Source organism: Homo sapiens, chromosome 13 (assembly GCF_000001405.40).
Source record: "Homo sapiens chromosome 13, GRCh38.p14 Primary Assembly".
NCBI lineage: Eukaryota > Metazoa > Chordata > Mammalia > Primates > Hominidae > Homo > Homo sapiens.
Genome location: NC_000013.11, coordinates 102,611,846 through 102,631,326, shown reverse-complemented (window position 1 = coordinate 102,631,326; position 19,481 = coordinate 102,611,846). Strand labels below are relative to the sequence as shown.

Genomic DNA, 19,481 nt, shown 5'->3' with positions numbered 1-19,481 from the left:
TTATAATAAGCTACTAAGATAAGTTTATTTTTTAAAGAGGAAACCACCTAGAGAAAATGAGGAAGATATCTGTAACTCAAAGAATATAACATTATTGCATCTCACCTGAGCACAATCAATTTTTCTAATCTTATCTTCCAATATTCCCCACTAATCTTATACTTCAAACATACTCAGTTACTAGTTATGTCCTCAAAAAACTTTACACTGAAACCTGCTCATCTTTGGGTTCATGTTATTCTTGGCATATAGAACTCCTTTCTTCTGTCTCTCAACATCCTATCCATCCTTTAAGGTCAACTTCAATACCGTCTTCTCCATGAAGGGCTCAAGTGATTGCTCCCACCTCTGGAGTCCCATCATACTAAAATGGCATTTGAAACTCAGATCACAAACTGTTCGTTTATGCCTTGCCCACTGTAGGCACTAAGGTATTTGCTGAACTAAATTCAAAGTCTATTCTTTTTATAAATTAACTCCAAACAGATGAATTAAAATAGGCTTTATTTTTCAGAAGGTGCATGTACCCGCTGATGATATAACGAAGAATTACATAAATTAGGACTTAATATACCTCTTCAGAAAATCAGTTCACAGAATCAGATAAATGTAGTTCAGAGGGCTTCAGGGAACCAAAAGAGATAGACTTCATTTCTCAGTCAGAACTTGTTTACTTTTGGATCTCACCCAAAATTGCTCAAAGTAAGTTATAACTTCAAAGACATGAGCCACAGGTACGTGGGCCCTATGACTGTGATGCTTTATAAAAGCTTAGGGCTTTCATTTCACCAAAGTTCAAATATCAAAAACTATTTAAAACAAGGCCATCACTACTATATAAAGATATCCAAGTCCCTACTTTTTCTTTAGATTCTTATAAATGAAGAATTATGGATATAGGAATAAGAATTTATACTCAGAATAGTGATGTTCTCCATGTAACAATGAAACTATTTCATTTATTTTATTTATCTGTCCCTGAGATGAGACTGTTAATCAAAATGAAAATACTGAAAAAAAAGTAAAAACCAACAGAAAAAAACTAGCAAACTTATCTAAAACTCTGCCCTTCTCAACAGTGTAAAGTTTAACCGAATATACGTAATGGTTCCGCGTTCTACCTGCACCTACCTAGGTCCTCTAGAAGACCAAGTATATTGATTTGCAGGTAATTTCTCTCTCAGTGAATACTCAGCAACCATCATATCAGGAGAAACATAAGCACCAACACCTGTGGGATGGATTTAATCATTAAGAAAAGAAAACAAACGGGGATCCTGATTCCAAATCCACTGTTCACTTGAGTAAACTGCCTAATCTCTCAACACCAGTCCTCTCTCTAATACGATGGAAGAATAAAATTTAATAAGGAAACAAGGAAAGTCTACTATGTACCATACATTTTACTAAGAACTTTGCTTTTGGATACAAAATACCTATCTCCCAGGATTATTTATCCCAGGATATTTTAGACTAAATATGCTAATGCACCTAAAAGCATGCATGTGTATTTCTATGAAACCACTTATTTCAGTCCACTTTAAATTACGGTCAGTTCTAGATGTGCTGGTTCCCCTACCAGACTATAAGTTTCCTGAGGACACACTTAAGGTGTACAGTGTCTTACGTGTAGCAGAGATACAGGTAACATTTCATTAACTATTGTTTTTTGTTTGCTTGTTTCTAAACAAATCTATTTCTAAAACAGGAAACTAACCTATCACACTTGATGTAGTTCCACCTGGACAACCAACTGTAGACAGGCATGGACCATTATTTCCAGCACTTGAAACATAAATTATATTATGCTTCCATACTGCTTCATTAATTACTTCACAAATTCTCCTGAAAAAGAGAGAATTCCTTTGAACATATAATCAGCCTCTATTCCCAAAGTGTATATAGTACCAAAACCTTGTTTAAATATATGGCTACATAAATTTTGGTACATCCACCCTTGGTGGAACATGATACAGCCATTCTAAGTGATATACCCTACTTGGGCTTTAGGGTAGGGAAGCAGTTATAAGGCCAAATTAAACGTGGGGAAAGTGCTAGGTGCAAAACAATATATATGGGAAAATATACTACAAGGTAGTAAAATATTAGTAGTGACTCGGGCAATAGGTGGTTCTATTTCCATCCCCCAGTTAACATAGTCCTGAAGACACACCTCAGAAGATTCGTACATACAATTATGAGTAGAAATTGACCAAAAGAACCAGTAACTTTTGTGGAAAAGGTAACTAAGGCACTAGGAAGAACTTAAGAGCAAGATTTTAAAGTGTAAGAAACCTGCTTAGAGCTTGACAGCAAACAAGAAAAATATACTGACATTAAGTAGAGGAGATGAGGTTATACCATGAAGAAGAAAATGAAGTTAACATTAAAAAGGTACAGAGCCATGCACAGGACCCTTCAAAGTTGTAAGTGTGAGTATCTGAGAAAGGGAAGAATATTAGCAAAAGAGGGCTTCAAGAGGATGAAAGTTAAAGTAGAGAAAGAAATACAGTTAAGTAAAATAAAGAAGTGAGAGAAGAGGGAAGAATGAAATGACTCATGATAACAGGGTGCATGTTACGAGGACCGTAAAGTGATGTCTCAAAAACCAGATGATAGCTTGGTGATGGGAATGGGGGAGAGATGATCAACAAGTAAATACTCGAGGTAATTTCAAATAGCTACTACTATGAAGAAAAAAAGGAAGGTAACATTAGGTCAAGGCCATGACACTGGATTTGGCAGCAGAAAGACAATGAAGCCAACGAGGAAGGAGGGGAGTGGGGGTGCATCCTAGACACACTAGAATGGATTGAGGAGATGTGAAAACTGACCGAGTTAGTGAACATACGCAACCAACAGTAAGTTTTGCAGATGAGATGCAAGTCACTAAAGAGAATAGCAAAATTTCAGCAAGTCTGGGCGTCTGTCGGGTATGTATATACAACTGAGGATGGCTTCAGAGTGCTTGTGGAACTAGTAATTATAATGATAGACAGATTGTCAGATCTAAATTGCCTGGGAAGAGAAGTGAGGATGCAGTGCATCTGACAGTGAAAAAACACCAGAGTCTGTGGGTTGCATATCTCAGAAGAACTGTGAGGGAGACCTAACCAAGGAAGAGCCACAAAGGACAGCACAGGCATGCTCAGAGTTGAGACTTCAGGCATGGTGCAGTGAACAGCATTAACATCGTCACAGATGTGAACACAGGAACGGGGGTGTGCGGCCTACGAGCCAAACAGGACTTCAAGAGGATGAAAGTCCTCTTGAACACAGTTATCATCTAACCACTGCAACTGTTCTTTCTTCCACCGTGACACTCAATCCACTTATGAAAAACATCTCATACTCTTCACTGGCTAAGGTTCTATGGCTAAACAACTGTCAAGGAACACTCACCCAGAATTTGGCCAGTGAGTTGCTTCTCCGTAACTGTAGTTGACAAGATCACACTTATGATTTATAACTTCTATCATCTATTAAAGAGATTAAGACTCTAGTTTAGGCAGCAATTTACAGAAACAGATTAGCCAGTAAAATAAGGGCATATATATAATCCTATAGTTTCTTAGCCAATCATATTCTAATTTATAAGTTACCTCCAGGCATATCACCATATACCTGGACATATAAGCACATAAACACAAAAAGGTAGGAGGAGACACATAAAAAAGTAGTCATTAAAAAAAAAAACAAAAAACTAGCATTTCTAGAAAAGAGTGGGGTTAGAGGGGGACAGAGGTAGAGGGAATGGAATGGTCCTTCCTAGGTTAAAAAATCACTAAAATTAAATATACTTTCCTACGTTAAAATGACGTACAGAATGTTAGCTGAGGTTTTAAATTCCTCTTAGGCTGATGGAGAAAGCTGGCTAAGAGGTCTTTCTTTTTAAGTATCTCAAAATTGCTTGTTAGGAGATTTGCTAGAAATGACGAGTATGAAGTAAGTAATTTTTTCACAAAGGTTAGGCCAAATCCTAATAATATTTAATAAAAATAATTTAAAAATAAATTAGTAAATATTTTTGCTTTGTTAAAAGTCCTGTACACTATATATAGTTCAATGTATTCTTGGTAAACTAGGAGCACTTATAAACCTAAAAATATCCAAGATCATTAATCATTAATCTTCTGAATCAACAACTCACAAACACTCACAGCTCTTATGAGGCCTGTGCCTGTTTCCATTGTGCTTAGTCTTGTATCACCAATCTTGATGGAAAGAATTTGAGCACCAGGAGCTACCCCATTCCGTTCAGGTTCTTCTGGAAAGTGTCCAGCAGCTATACTAGCTACATGTGTCCCATGAGCTCCTAGAGACACAAAGGTGGGGAAATGACAAAACATTCTCATGGACTGAAAGTTTATTCAATTCAATTTGCATATTATTAATCATGATAAAAAGAATACACATTACTCTGCTACCCTGTTCATGGAGAGCAAAAACTCAAGTCACAAAGGAAAGTATTTGCAACATGTATAGCTGACAAAGAGCTTTATATCCAGAATATATAAAAATCTTTCAAATTCACAATAAAAAAAGGGAGAATCCCCCCTTCAAACATTTGAAAAAGCATTTTATAAAAGAAGATACCCAAAGGGCAAATAAACACACGAAAAGATGTTTAATTTCATTCGTCATCTAGGAAACGCAAATTAAGCCACAAAAAGATGCTTCTACGTACCTTTTAGAATTGCCAAAATATTAAAGGCTGACAAAGCAAGTGTGGATGGAAGTACATATCATACACTGCTGGCTGGAGTGAAAGCTGAACACTGCCACAGCCTATGAGCCAGCCATCCTACCTCTAGGTACACACAATACCAAAATGTGTGCACATGTAACTAAGACACCCACAAAAATGTTCATGGCAACACTGTTTATAAAATTCAAAAACTTAAAAACCACCACAAGATTCATTAACAGTAAATGGTTACATGTACATCAATTCATAGAACTGACAATTATACAGCAATAAACTACTACTATGTACTATGAGATAAAGCTCACAAAAATAAGGCTGAACTAAAGAAGTCACATACAAAAATGGATATTGAATTTTCATATAAATGAAAAAAAGGCTGAACCATCTGAAACTGCCACTATTTTATCATTTCCGATCACAAAAACAGCAACATCATATGGTCCAAACTAATGTGGCAATGGAGATCAGGATAGTAGTTAACTGTAGGAGGTGGGAGGGTACATTACTGATTAGGAAGGGGCATGATGGGAGTTTCATTATGTTTCATTTCTTGACCTGAGTTGTAGTTACAAAGAAGTGTCCACTTTGTGGTAATTCAAAGAGTTGTACAACTTGTGATTTGTATCTGTTTTTGTACATGTTATATATAAAGTAATACTAAAACAAAAAACTAGCCTTTTAGTGAAAAAGTTTCTTAAAAGACATGAATATAGAGAAATATCCCACTAGTCTCAGAAAAACAATAATACAAGCACAATGATAAATGACAACTGGCACTGGGCCTTAATGTTTGGGGACTATAGTGTGTTGGAGCTCCAGGAGAAGTAGGCAGGCATCTCTATGTGGCTTTGAAACAGGGTCTGCAGCAATGCTGAGACTCCTCTGCTCTAGCCAGCTGCTGTCATGCAAGAAAACATTCGCCCAATGTTGCGGATTCTGGCTTTCTTATTTCTTTCCCCAGATAAAATTGGGAGAGCACAAGTTTAATGTGATTTTTTCCTTCAAAACACCTTACACCAGTTAGAATGACCACTATTAAGACTGACCACAGCAAGTGTTGCTGAGGATACAGAGCACCTGGAATTCTCACACACCATGGTGGGAGTGAAAAGGGTACAGCCCCTTTAGGTAACAGCTTGAATATTTCTTAAAAAAGGCCGGGCGCAGTGGCTCACACCTGTAATCCCAGCACTTTGGGAAGCCGAGGCGGGCGGATCACGAGGTCAGGAGATCGAGACCATCCTGGCTAACACGGTGAAACCCCGTCTCTACTAAAAATACAAAAAATTAGCCGGGCATGGTAGTGGGCGCCTGCAGTCCCAGCTACTTGGGAGGCTGAGGCAAGAGAATGGCATGAACCCGGGAGGCGGAGCTTGCAGTGAGCCGAGATCGCGCCACTGCACTCCAGCCTGGGCGACAGAGCGAGACTCTGTCTCAAAAAAAAAAAAAAAAAAGTTAAGTGGCCGGGCGTGGTGGCTCACACCTATAATCTCAGCACTTTGGGAGGCCGAGGCGGGTGGATCACGAGGTCAGGAATTTGATACTAGCCTGACCAACATGGTGAAACCCTGTCTCTACTAAAAATACAAAAACTAGCCAGGTGTGGTGGTACGCGCCTGTAATCCCAGCTACCCAGGAGGCTGAGGCAGGAGAATCACTTGAACCTGGGAGGCAGAGGTTGCAGTGAGCCGAGACCGTGCCACCTGTACTCCAGCCTGGGCGACAGAGCGAGACTCTGTCTCAAAAAAAAAAAAAAAAAAAAAAAAGGAAAAAAAAAAATTAAGTACATGTTTACCATATCCAACTGGTTCTCTCAGCTATCAGCCCAAAAATAAATAAAAATATATGTCGACAGATACCAAAACAATCTAAACGTCCATCAATGGGAAGCTGGATAAACAAACTGTGGTGTAGCTATATAAAGAACTATTACTCAGAAATAAAGAGCCAGCTTTATAATCATAACATTAATGAATCTCAAAATCATTATGCTGAGTGAAGGAAAGAAAACCATATTTTTTATTCCACTTACATAAAATTCTGGAAAGTGTGAAATAATCTGGAGTGACAGAAAACAGATCAGTGGTTCCCCGGGATGTGGGTGGAGAAAGGCTGGATAATAGAGAGAGCAAACTTTTGGGGGTAATGAGTATGTTCATTACCTTGATTGTGGTGGTTTCCTGGATATACTGATATATTTACATAAAAGCTTATCAAATTATGTATATGTATGTATGTGAAGTTTTTGTACTTAAGCTATACCTCAATGAACTGGGAGGTAGGAGGGGGACGTTAAAGAGTTAAAGTCATCCCACTTCATTCTCCTTTTTCCCCCTACCCTGGGAGGGAGAACTTCCCCCAGAAGTAGCCACCATCCTGGAGCTGGTGTGCATAATCTTTCCATCTATATATTTAACATTTTCACGATATAAACACACATATCTATAAACACTGCATAGTACTATTCGGCATGTTTTAGAATTTTACAAGTTTTATCATCAGTACATATTTTTTCAATATAATTTATGTATTAGGGGTTTATACACACAGCATTTTGATTGCTATATAATACATTCGGCCCTCTGTATCCACAGGTTCCGCACCAACTACATGCAATTTAACCAACCACGGATCAAAAATATAAATATTAAAAAACTACAGTATAACAACTATTTATATAGCACTTACATACTATAAGGTATTAGAAGTCATGTAGAGATGCTGAAAGCACATGGGAGAGCATGTGTGTAGGTTATACACAAACACTATGTCATTTTGTATCAGGTACTTGAGCATCTGAGGGACATTCCAGAACCAATCCCCCCAGATACCAAAGGATGACTGTATTTCACAGTAAGAATAACACACAGTTGTTTAAAAAATATATTTTTTTGTTAATAGGTATTTAGTTTCCAACTTTTTTGAAATCACACAGAGTGCCGTAGTGAGGATTCTTTTATCTGATTCTCTGTACTCATGGGTGAATTTCTCAAGAGTTAAGATTTCGAGGCAAAATTGCTGTTCATGAGATAAATTCTATTGATGGATTTTTTTTGAGATGGAGTTTCGCTCTTGTTGCCCAGGCTGGAGTGCAATGGCACGATCTCGGCTCACTGCAACCTCCGCCTCCTAGGTTCAAACGATTCTCCTGCCTCAGCCTCCCGAGTAGCTGGGATTACAGGCATGTGCCACCACGCACAGCTAATTCTATATTTTTAGTAGAGATGGGGTTTCTCCATGTTGGTCAGGCTGGTCTCAAACTCCCAGCCTCAGGTGATCCACACACCTCGGCCTCCCAAGGTGCTAGGATCACAGGCATGAGCCACTGCACCCAGCCTATTGATGGATTTTCTGATGTTGGAACATGCTTTTATATTCTTGGACTGGATCCCACATGGTTATGACCTTAAAAAACAACATCTTGCAGGTAAATCAAATCACCTTTATGATTCTGGACCTAGTCCTTTAGCTACGATCTCTAGCTTAAAATTCTCTAGAAGGTTGCTGTGAGCTATCGCAACGTACCACTTTATCACCTCATAAATCTATATCTCATTGGTCAATCTGAAATGGGATACCTCCACTGGTCACAATGGAGAGCAGGTTTCCATCATCGTATATATTAACGGAGTAATTCAACATCTCAGCTGTGCCAAAAGAGCCATATTCTTGGGCTTCTTTGTAGTTTCTCAACACGGTAGATTTACTCAAGTCCCCATCTTCATTAGAATCAATGCAGGCTCTATTAATTAAAAAGAAATGGAGACAGTAAAATTTATTTTCTTACCTTTCTAAAAATCATGTAACATAGTCTCTCCACTATTTTACTATACTACTACCTCTACCACAACAAATATAAATATAATGACTGCCTGGTTTAGCCTGTTTCTTAGAGTGGGCAGTAAGGATTAGGTAAGATAGCTTACAGCAACCAGTTCTTAAATCATGCACAAAGTGCTTTAAAAATACCCTCCTTCACAAAACTCTAGGTTAAAAACCACCTGGACTCTTAAGAATTACAGCTAAAACTTGGCTTAGAGTTTTAGAGCAGTTTAGGATAGTTCAGACACATGGCCTAGGTCTAACTTCCAGCTGCTTCTTTTAGTAATGGCTTCAAGAATCTAACGGCTTACACAAGCTCTTTGAAACTAGGTGAATTTTACTGAGCTTCAGTCCTATAGTTATAACAGACTTAAATTTATTTCTCACAGAAGGCATTTTCTACATTACTTTATGGTTGTCTTCCTTCATGTTTTTTCCATTTTACTAACTAAAATAGTTTTTAAATTATATTCCGAACACTTTAGAAGATAGCCTGATTAAAACAAAATACACTTAATATTCAAAAAGTCATAAATGAAATGAACATCATTAAAAGTTCAATATTATGTTTTTAGCTCTAAGTATGTTTTAAATGCAAGAACTGTATTTTAACAAGCTATGCAAGTCAGTCAAAATTGCCAAGTAAATTAATAGAAGCCTACTGGTAGAGCACAGAGAGATGATTTATCATAAATACTGAAGCATATTTCATTAACAAATTACAACACTTTGGAAAAAAGGATTCTTAAAAATTTGTTTTTATGCATTGCCCTAATATGACTGATGTAATTTCAAATAATAGAATATACGAAGGTATAGGAAACTAAACACTTATGGAGAAAATGAAGCAAAGAGCAAACAAGTCACATATTAAACAGAATCAGGCTTGAGATTAGTGGGTAAAATGCATGTCACCAAATCTTCCACATGCTACAGAAGTAGCACTTGTCTCCAAAATTTATGCAATCGGCCAGCATCCATCCTGGAAGTCATCTACAAAGTCCTCCCTCTGTTCTTCCCCCAGCCCATCTAACCGCACAGTCCCATCTCCATAATGTGTCCGCCTATTTCCACTGTCTCTTCCTTACCGCTGTTGCCTGATGAGCTGATGGCCTGCTCTGCCCCTACATTTGACTCCTGCTGAAAACCTTCCATGTCTTCCAACGGCTCTTAACATTGAAACTCCAGAGCAATGCCCCTAATAATCATCTGCTCACCTCCCTCACCTCCTGCTCCCATCATATCCTCTGTGGCCACACCAAACTTCTCACAGTTCCTCCAACATCCTCTGGATCTTTCCCCCACCCTTTCTACCTCTCTGCTTAGTTTACTGTGATGATCCTTCAAGTCTCAATGTAAGATGTTATTAATACTTTTGGGAAATCTTTCTCGATTCTTCCTAGACTGGTTCAGACGTTCCCAACACTTGCTTCCATGGAATCTAGAGTCCATGGAGTAGCTTCTATGGTGTCAACCTGGTACAAAGAAGGTACTCAATAAACATCTGCCACATGATTAAGGAATTAACGAAATCATCATCCTTAACAACATTCTCACAGCAAATACAGTGACACATTCCACAGGTCAGTTTCTTATAACCACCATCATTGGAATGACTCAACAATACAACCAACACATCAAAACATAAATTATTACTGACTTCTCTAAATAACACGACAGAGGACAAGTATGAATGTGGTGCAAGGTTATAACTTTCTGAAGGTCTAGTTGACTGAATTCAAGTAGCAGCTAGAATACAGAGAAAGGATATCAAAATGAGGCTCATACACAGAGCAGGGTACATGTAAGTGGGGAGGATGAGAGAAAAGGCTTTTGTTTTATGTATTTCTCGACATTTTCACACATCTCTCAATTTTCTGTGGAAAGAATCTAGAGCTTTCATCAAGAATCTAAAAGGAAACATGACATAAGCAAGGTCAAAATCCACTGTAAAGAAATCAACTAATAGCTTCTCCTTTATGTAATCCTCTGTAAACACTGTTTCTCTCAACCAGTTTTTGTTCCATTTGGAGTGACAATGAGTCTGAGGCTCTGCGTCCTGACAGATGCTCAGAACAGAGTCATCTGAGGCCACCCGTTAAGTGCAGAGATACGCGCTAAACAATTAGCAGAAATGTGGCAGGGAGAGCACAGACTGGACATTCGTCATCAAACAAAACAAAACAAAAAACCCACGGTACTTAAAGAATAGGTCACTTTACCTCCCTTCAGAAATGGTTGGCATTTTTGAAATGTGAAATGAGAACATCTGCAGACAGGACTGGATTAACCTTATGTACCCTGGGATCTACAAGGTTCTCTTCAAAAAATTTTGGATCTCTGAGATCAAAGCCCTATAGGATATACTGTATTATGCAAAAAAGTTACATTATATCTAGTACCACCTGAAAGTATAATTATGCTATATTCATTTATTATAATAAAATGTTCTAAAATGTTATTCTGAGATTTCAGATTTTATTTCACTTAATGTTAGATTAAATTTCATTTCTAACTCAAAAGTTCTAAACAAAACCCTTAGAATAGTTGTCAACAAACTGCTACAAGTGAGTCACTTTATCAAGCACCTTGAAGACCAAGGAAATCTTGTGGAAACACACACTGGTACCCTGGACATCCTGACTCCGGATTCCTTTTCCTAAGACAAAGTAATCTGCAGTGTTTTCAGAACCTAGAGCAAACACTTTAAATGAAACCACCTATTGCCTCACTACTCAATCCCTGCTAATATTTTAGTATTTCTTTAAGTTCTTTTGTAGTATATACTTTCCTAAATATACTCTGTTTCGTATTTAGCATTTTCCTTGAATTTAACCTTGCCTCCTTTCCCACACTAAAACGCACCTAAGGCTTATCACTGAGTGTGACTGTATCATGTTACCCCAGATGGTGGATGTATCAAGGTTTATTATTCTGTATAAAGCCTCTGGAAAATAATTTTTCAAAACGTGTATGCATATGCACACAACAAAACAACATGTATGAATACACACAAAAGTGCATTAATATTTAATATCTAGATTGAAAGAGTTATGTGCAGTTATTTTATTAACACCATCATCCCCAAATTGAGCAGAAATTTCTCATTCAACTTAACATTGCATACACCTTTGATGAAAGATGAGTTAGTACCTGCACACGTGGGAGGAGAACCCTCCTTTAAGAAGGGTGCACTGTGAAGGTGAACAATTGTGAGAGCAGTGAGGAAGCAGTCATGGCATGATCTGTGTGTGCCCCACCTTGTGATGCAATTCTTTGTGTATAAGCAGGGACGCAGACTACAAGTAATTCTTGACTACAAGTTTAAGAAATAGTCCCTGTTTGTTTGTTTTTTTTTTGCAGAAATCCTAAAGCACACATATGGCTAAATATCTGTATTAACAATGTCTTCCTGTTTTCATGCAGATAGTAACTCAAGAAGGCAGACTAATCAACTCCAAGAAGCACATATGCAGTATATAAGGCACTAAAAAAGAAACTAAAAAACGTACATGATGGGTAACTTGGTATAAATCGCATTATTATTATTAGTTTTAGTAATAGAAACAGCAGCAGCAACAGCGTACATTGATTGCTTACTATATCTAGAAACATCAAATTTAATTTTCACAAAGCCCTGTAAGCACCACTATCTCAATTAACAAATGAGGAAACATTTCCAAATATACGGATGGTCAACATACTAATAAATTATTAATGAAGTAAGTTTATTTAAATCAGATAAAAGTCAGGTTTAGTGTCAATAATTATAACTAGAAGTTCAAGGGGCTTGTCCAAAACTACCCAGATGCCAATTTGGCCCTTAAATGATTTTGCTGAGTGATATCACGAATAAACCAAAATTCTGTGCAGCTCTGAGCATTTAATGTTTTTCAGAGTAGAAAAGAAAACATTTGTAAATGAAGATGTATAAAATACACGAAGTTTACCTCCAGACTTCGCCATCATGCCATACCAAGCAGTCATATACAGGGCCAGGATCGCTGTATTTCTTCTCAAAAGAATTTAGCAATTCCACTTGACTTTGAAGTTCCTCCTTGATTAGTTTATTTGCCTAGTCAGTTGGAAAACTGATTAACATTAGTACATTCTGTCCTTCTAAAAGTTGTATTAACATACAGCCAAAGATACAATGTTAATCCATAGTAAAATTATTTTACCCTGAAAAAATGTAAGAAAATTTTGTTCTATCTATGCAACTTGTCATTCAATTCAATGAAGCAGATACCCATTAATACAGATCTAATTAATAAAGATCTAAAAAACAGTTATTTTACTCAATCTCATTTATTCACTCACTAGGCCTGCTTTGGGAAATACACTGTGCTACACGTTGGTGATTCCATTTAGCCAAGATATGCTTGTTACATATTTGTTATCTAACTTATTTCCAAAAGCAACTCTAAAACTGCTACAAAATAGGTTATCTATTGACTTTTAGATTTTTATATCAGGACCTATTCTATCTCAAATTTATTTCTTAAGAATCCAAATAAATAATAAAACCCATGAATCATCTTATATCTTTTAGAAACTGCTATGTTAAATAGAAGCATTTAATGGGGGTAAGTGAAGCCTTATTTTAGCTCTGTGGTCATGAATAAAACCAAGTGCTTTAAATTCGATTACGTACACACTAGACAACAACTGGCACTAGCAGGTGTTACCTCTCCAAAACATTTCTCTAACCTAGAGTGTATATAAAAAAATAAGTTAGGTACTCAAATAATTAGGAAAATGACTGGTTTAAACAGAAATAAGCTGGGAGATAGAAAGGCATATAAATACTGAAATTGAGACGAATATCTCTAGACTATGTTACTATATTAAGATCCAGCAGGGGTTGACAAATCATGGTGCATGGGCCAAATCTAGCCTGTGACAAAGTTGTGTAAATGAAGCTTTACTGGAACATGGCCTTCCTGGTTCAGTTACATATTGCCTAGGTTTTCATGATACAAGGGGAGTGTTGAGCAGTCATAAGAGAGTACTAAAAATATTTACTATTTGGCAATTTATTGAAAAAGGTAGTCGTCTTTGATCAAAAGCACTTAATATTGCTTAAAATCAATCTGCCTTCTATAAATAGTGTGGTGTGAGTATTAACCTAGAGGGAAGAAATATGGATTCAAATCTCAATTCAGCAACTTAGCTGTGCAATCCTGAGCAAGTTATTTGTCCTTATGATAATCTGAGGCTGTCACATCAGAAACTAGTAGGATAGCAAATTATTATCTTGGCCAATAATTACTAAATTTCACGCAAATCACAATCATGTAAAGGCTATCACAAACATCGATGCTGTTTCTAATCCCACTTAGTAAATCAGAATTATCAGGGGATAAAGCCCGGAAAACTTAATTACTTTTAAAATAATTCAGGTGACTTAGAGATAATCAGTTCATCAGTATCAATTCCACAAATCAGTATATGGGAACCAAGGACTACACCCTCCCATGTTTTGAAACAAGGACCTTGAGGTCTAATATATTAACTGAAAAATGAAGTATTTTGAAACCCTTTTTAAAAGTGACAATAATACATATAATTAGAGAATACATAGGCCGGGCACGGTGGCTCATGCCTGTAATCCCAGCACTTTGGGAGGCCAAGGTGGGCGTATCACAAGGTTGGGAGTTCAAGACCAGCCTGGCCAACACGGTGAAACCCTGTCTCTACTAAAAATGCAAAAAAAAAAAACTAGTCGGGTGTGGTGGCACGTGCCTGTAATCCCAGCTACTCAGGAGGCTGAGGCGAGAATAGCTTGAACCCGGAAGGCAGAGGTTGCAATGAGCCGAGATCACACCACTGCACTCCAGCCTGGAACAGAGCGAGACTCCGTCTCAAAAAAAAAAAACAAAAAACAAAAAACAAAACCATACTATATGGTTCCATTTTACACAAATCAAAATAGGCAAAATCATCTGCAGTGTTAGAAGTCAAGGTGGTGGTTGTCTTTCGGAAGGAAAAAGGGAGCAGTGACAAGGAAGGGGCACAAGAGAAATTCCTAGGTGCAGCTTTCATGGGAGAATTCATAACCAAACACAATTTATGTACTTTTACCCTACGTGTATTATGTGTTAAATTTTAAAAATTCATACATATGTACATTGACTTGAGGATAAATAATAAAGGAAAAATTAGTAAAATTAACCAACTTAAAAGAAAATTTGTGAAAAAAGAAAACTTGTGGAAAAACAGTCTATTAGTTCTGTAGAAACTCTATGGGAATATGGTTCTAGGGTAATGTTTAAATGAAATCGACTAGCACCAACTTGAGAAGAGCCGTTGTTGGCAACATCAAATTCTTCCTGTTTTCTACAGGCTTCTGCAAGGGCCACTCTGTGAACAGGGTCCCAGATTTTTTCCTTCCGTTCTTTCTGCAAAGACAGAAAAATTACCTTACAATTAGGCTGACAAATACTCAGGTAAACCTAGACAGGCATTTATATGTGGACTTTGTTGGTACAGTTGTGATACTACACAATTCTCATAGAGAGGTTTTAAAAAATCATTTTTGGCCGGGTGTGGTGGCTCACGCCTGTAATCCTAACAATTTGGAAGGCTGAGGTAGGCGGATCACCTGAGGTGAGGAGTTCGAGACCAGCCTGGCCAACAAGGTGAAACCCCGTCTCTACTAAAAATACAAAAATTAGCCAGGTGGGGTGGCAGGTGCCTGTAATCCCAGCTACTTGGGAGGCTAAGGCACGAGAATCGCTTGAACCCAGGAGGCTGAGGCTGCAGTGAGCAGAGATTGAGCCACTGCACTCCAGCCTGGGCAACAGAGTAAGACTCTGTCTCAAAGAGAAAAAAAAAAAAAGTTTCTAATGAAGCAGATAAAGCCATGGATCACTTACTAAAAACTGGTTAGTCAATTCATTGCACCCAGGGTTTAAGAGAAGTTTACCAAGACACATCCAGATGTATTTTTATGTATCATATTCCCCAATTTAAAACCTTCTCTTCTCCAAGAATACTGACTGAATTCCCAGTCATTAAAAGGAAGAAAATGTTGTATTCTGGGCCCATACAAAATTGGGAAATGCCATAAGCCTAGTGTACGCAGAGGACTAGAGTAAGACTACAGCTGCATTTTGACAGACAATGCAGGCATCCTCAATGTCCTCCCTATTTTTTTTTCCATCCTCTTTGACTTGATAGGGTTCTATGTCACTGAAATTGGTTTTAACCTTTATCTTCAGTGTCTTTAACTCACGGTAACTCCCAACGCAGCTAAAGGAACAGTCCACTTCAACAACACTATATTTGCATATTAAATCACATCTTATCAACACAGCTGATTACATTTAATATACTATATAAAATGCAGTCATGCAATGGTTCACACCTGTAGTCCCAGCACTTTGGGAGAATGAGGCAGGCGGATCACTTGAGCCCAGGAGTTCGAGACCAGCCTGGGCAACATGGTGAAACCCCATCCCTACAAAAAATACAAAAATTAGATGGGTGTGGTGGTGCGTGCCTGTAGTCCCAACTACATGGGAGGATTGCCCAGGAGGTTGAGGCAGTAATTAGCTGTGATCATGCCACTGCATTCCAGCCTGAAATTTTAAAATAACATATTATGTAATAGAAGTTATACGCATTATTCTTGTTTGTTTTGCAGAATGATTAGAAACTGACAAATAAGGTAATCTGAGTAACTTCTTATGCTTCACAGGCCCTTGGGGAAATAACACGACAGAGGCAAGGCCCCACACATCTTATCCATCAAGCTCACTTCCCAGGATTATACCTTATTTTACAGCTGCAACCCTGGACTTGTATTAGGTACTTGTATCAGCTACTTGTATCAGCATTCTTAAAACGGTAGTCACTAGCCACATGACACTATTTAAACTTAAATTTTAAAATATTACTAAGATAAAATTTCAATTCGTCAGTCACACTAAACATATTTCAAATTCTCAATAGCAACATGGCTAGTGACTACCATAATGGTTAGAGCAGAAACTGAACATTTCAAACATTTCCATTATCACAGAAAGTTCTATTGAACTGTTTTAAAGCAGGCTCTTTATCATTCTGCTTACCACTCTTATTTTTCTAATGGCACACTGGTACTTCTTACACTTCAGCAGTTTTAGGACTGAATTAACACTTACCTTAACACTAAATGATGACTAACTGGGAGCAAGAAGGCTAGTTAAACAGGGGAGGGACATTATCACAGAAACTACAGGAACAGAAACGAAAAGGTGGTCTGGATTTTGAATCCACTGTCTTTAGCCTTTTTCAAGTAAAAAAAAGTCCTTCAAAAATCCAGTGAAAGCTATATCCCATCTCCCAGAAAAACACAAAAATCTGAATATAATTTCAGTGTATTCACAGATTCCCTAAACTTATCCATGTACCCAAGATCAAGAATCACAAGTTTACACGGATGACATTCCATTGAGCAGAATCTTTAAGCAGTCATTGTTTGAAAGCCACCAACCACCCAAAAAACTAAGTTAATGAGATTTTATGAAATATTTCTTTTTCTTCAGTAGGAATAAAATCTGAGGAAGAAGACAAGTCAGAAGAATACAACTCATTGGTACCAGATTGTACATTACCTGTATCCTTTCCTTGAGTGCCTTAGGATAGAAGTCATAGCCATTTTTTATGCCAATATGATATTTGCCTGAGGGATTTGTCCAGCTTGCAGGAATCTACAGAAAAAAAAAGAGTAACCTGTTCATTCACTAAATGCTTTCCAATTCCAATGATACACTACTGAGCAAAAAAGTATATTACTTCTACTCTAATAAGCTTAAATTGGATAAGGATGCTCATGTACAACAACGTGTTTAATACTCTAAGTAGTTACTTAATGTCTTTATCACTTCTTTTTTCTCATCCATAAATAATTCAACTAGAATAATACCTTCATTTATACAATGCTTCATGGTTTAAAAAGTGCTTTCAACATACACTATCTCAATAAACTGCTAAAATCTTGTAATAATCTTTTAAACGATCTCAAAGTGTTTTAAAACACTTTAAACTTTTAGTAGAGCGATGCAAACAGTACGCCTAGTTTACAAACAGAGAAAGCAAAGCAGCAGAGAAATCAAATTACTTGCCTGAACAAGAGGAAAGTTGAAAACTGGAACCTAGTTCTATCATGGAAACCAAAAATTCTGTATAAAGGATATGGGATTTAAAGTCAGATAAATCTGGCTCTGAATCCAAACTCTATCACTAACTAGAAGGAACCCACAGGCTTCTACTTCATCTGTAAAAGGAAGAAAATCTCTACCTTATTCTTGTGAACAAAAAAGTGAACTGAGCATCAACCAACATGAATGATCAATCAAGAAAATGTAGAGTATTCATATTCTTTGCAATCATGGAACCGTGGTCATCAAAACCAGCTTTTAAATATGTATAAATGACAAGGTTGAAACACTCAGAGCTGGTAGCCTCATCAATCCTCACTTGTGCAATACCTTTAACTCATCCCCATGTCCTTCATCCAATTACTTCCCAGGCAGAAAACTTTTGGATGAAATTTCCTCACAACTAAATAGAGGAAAACAATCATTCACAGAGCTTCAAGGAGCTAATACTAAATAGTGACCTTTTGAAGGCCTCTGTGCCATTAATCACTTCCAAATCAACTGGATGTCTGCAGAATGTGTAATTTCAAACACGCTGGCATACAAGCTAGCACTTTTCACTCAAAACTGAACCTTCTTTAAAGAATAGGAATTCTGAACTTTAATGTTTTTGCAACAGCCCACGGCAAAACAATAAAGCACTGCAACAACAAAAAGGGAAGTAGTCACTAGCTTTTAAATTCCAAGTATTTATTCACTACTGTCCCACTACACAGGTGGCTAGCAGCAACTTCTTTGTACAGACATTACAGAAAATCATGAAATGCCAAAAGATTAAATGAAGTAACTAATTAAAATAACTGCAAAATAGAAAGTCGTTAAGTTATATTTAATCACAATTTCTTAAAAAAACATAAAGTACAATAAAAACAATCCAATAGACATAATTTAATTATAAATGAGATCAAAGTCTGCACGGTCCATGGAACCAGATACTTCTCAAATCACAACTATGTATCTTCCTTACCACGAAGGCAGACTAGTTACAAAAATTACACCAAAAAAATCAGATAAAAGTTATAATCTGGGCTATCTGATCTAACTTTAGCCAAGTTAGAGTAAAGCTAACTTTATGAGGCAATTATGAAATTTTATTTTGCATATTTGAGTATTCTACATAAACAAAGTTATTTTTTCTAAGAATAAAATCTTTACATTTGACCATTTTAGGTTGGTATCTTAAAAATGGTTCTAATAACACAGTAACTACAATGTATTAAGACTGATTGTCATATGATACACGTAATCTTTTTAATTACCAATTACACCTCATTTCTCTGACTCTCTTAAAGAGAGGATGCCTAACAAATCAAACATTTTTCTTAACGGGCTAAGTGTCATCTGAGTGTTAGGGTACCATGCAGTGAAGCCCTCTTAGAGGCTTTTGCTTCCAAATGATTTCAGTCTTGCCAGCCTCATCACACAGGCCAGGGCACACGCACAGTTTCCTTTGGCTGTCACTGCATCTAAGTACCATGCTGAATCTGGCCAAGTCATTCATTATGCCTGGATTTATCTTTATTTTATTTTTTTTAAAAACCAAAAATATTTAAGACTAAGTGTTGATTTTTAAAATGACTTCCAGTTAAATGTGGTAAAATGAAAAAGGTACTGTGCTTCCTTCCAAAATGCTACTAAAATTAGAATAAAGGAAGTCGGGGAAGCATCCAAAAACGAAGGGACAAAGAGAATACGAAAGAGACTTCAGAAGCTCACCACATTTTGAAGGGTGCCAAGTGAAAAGAAGGCATTAAAAATTAGAGTGAAAATTGTGGAACACATGGTGTTGGGACAACTGGGTCTTT

At 37.2% G+C, this 19,481-nt stretch overlaps 1 protein-coding gene across 8 annotated transcripts in view; it reads right to left on the bottom strand.

The window, feature by feature from the left end:
• Positions 1-19,481, bottom strand: part of TPP2 (tripeptidyl peptidase 2) — an 82,973-nt gene that overhangs the window by 48,632 nt on the left and 14,860 nt on the right. For all 8 annotated transcript variants that reach the window (NR_160411.1, XM_005254070.3, NM_001330588.2 and 5 more), the window contains exons 3-10: positions 17,131-17,226; positions 14,827-14,931; positions 12,481-12,605; positions 8,287-8,450; positions 4,161-4,315; positions 3,403-3,479; positions 1,718-1,845; positions 1,132-1,231 (exon numbers count right to left, since the gene is read on the bottom strand). Coding sequence is in view for 7 of the 8 variants with exons in the window: in XM_005254070.3 (XP_005254127.1) it covers positions 1,132-1,231; positions 1,718-1,845; positions 3,403-3,479; positions 4,161-4,315; positions 8,287-8,450; positions 12,481-12,605; positions 14,827-14,931; positions 17,131-17,226 (950 nt within the window). In the remaining variant the exon portion in view is untranslated. The remainder of the gene's footprint in view (positions 1-1,131; positions 1,232-1,717; positions 1,846-3,402; positions 3,480-4,160; positions 4,316-8,286; positions 8,451-12,480; positions 12,606-14,826; positions 14,932-17,130; positions 17,227-19,481) is intronic.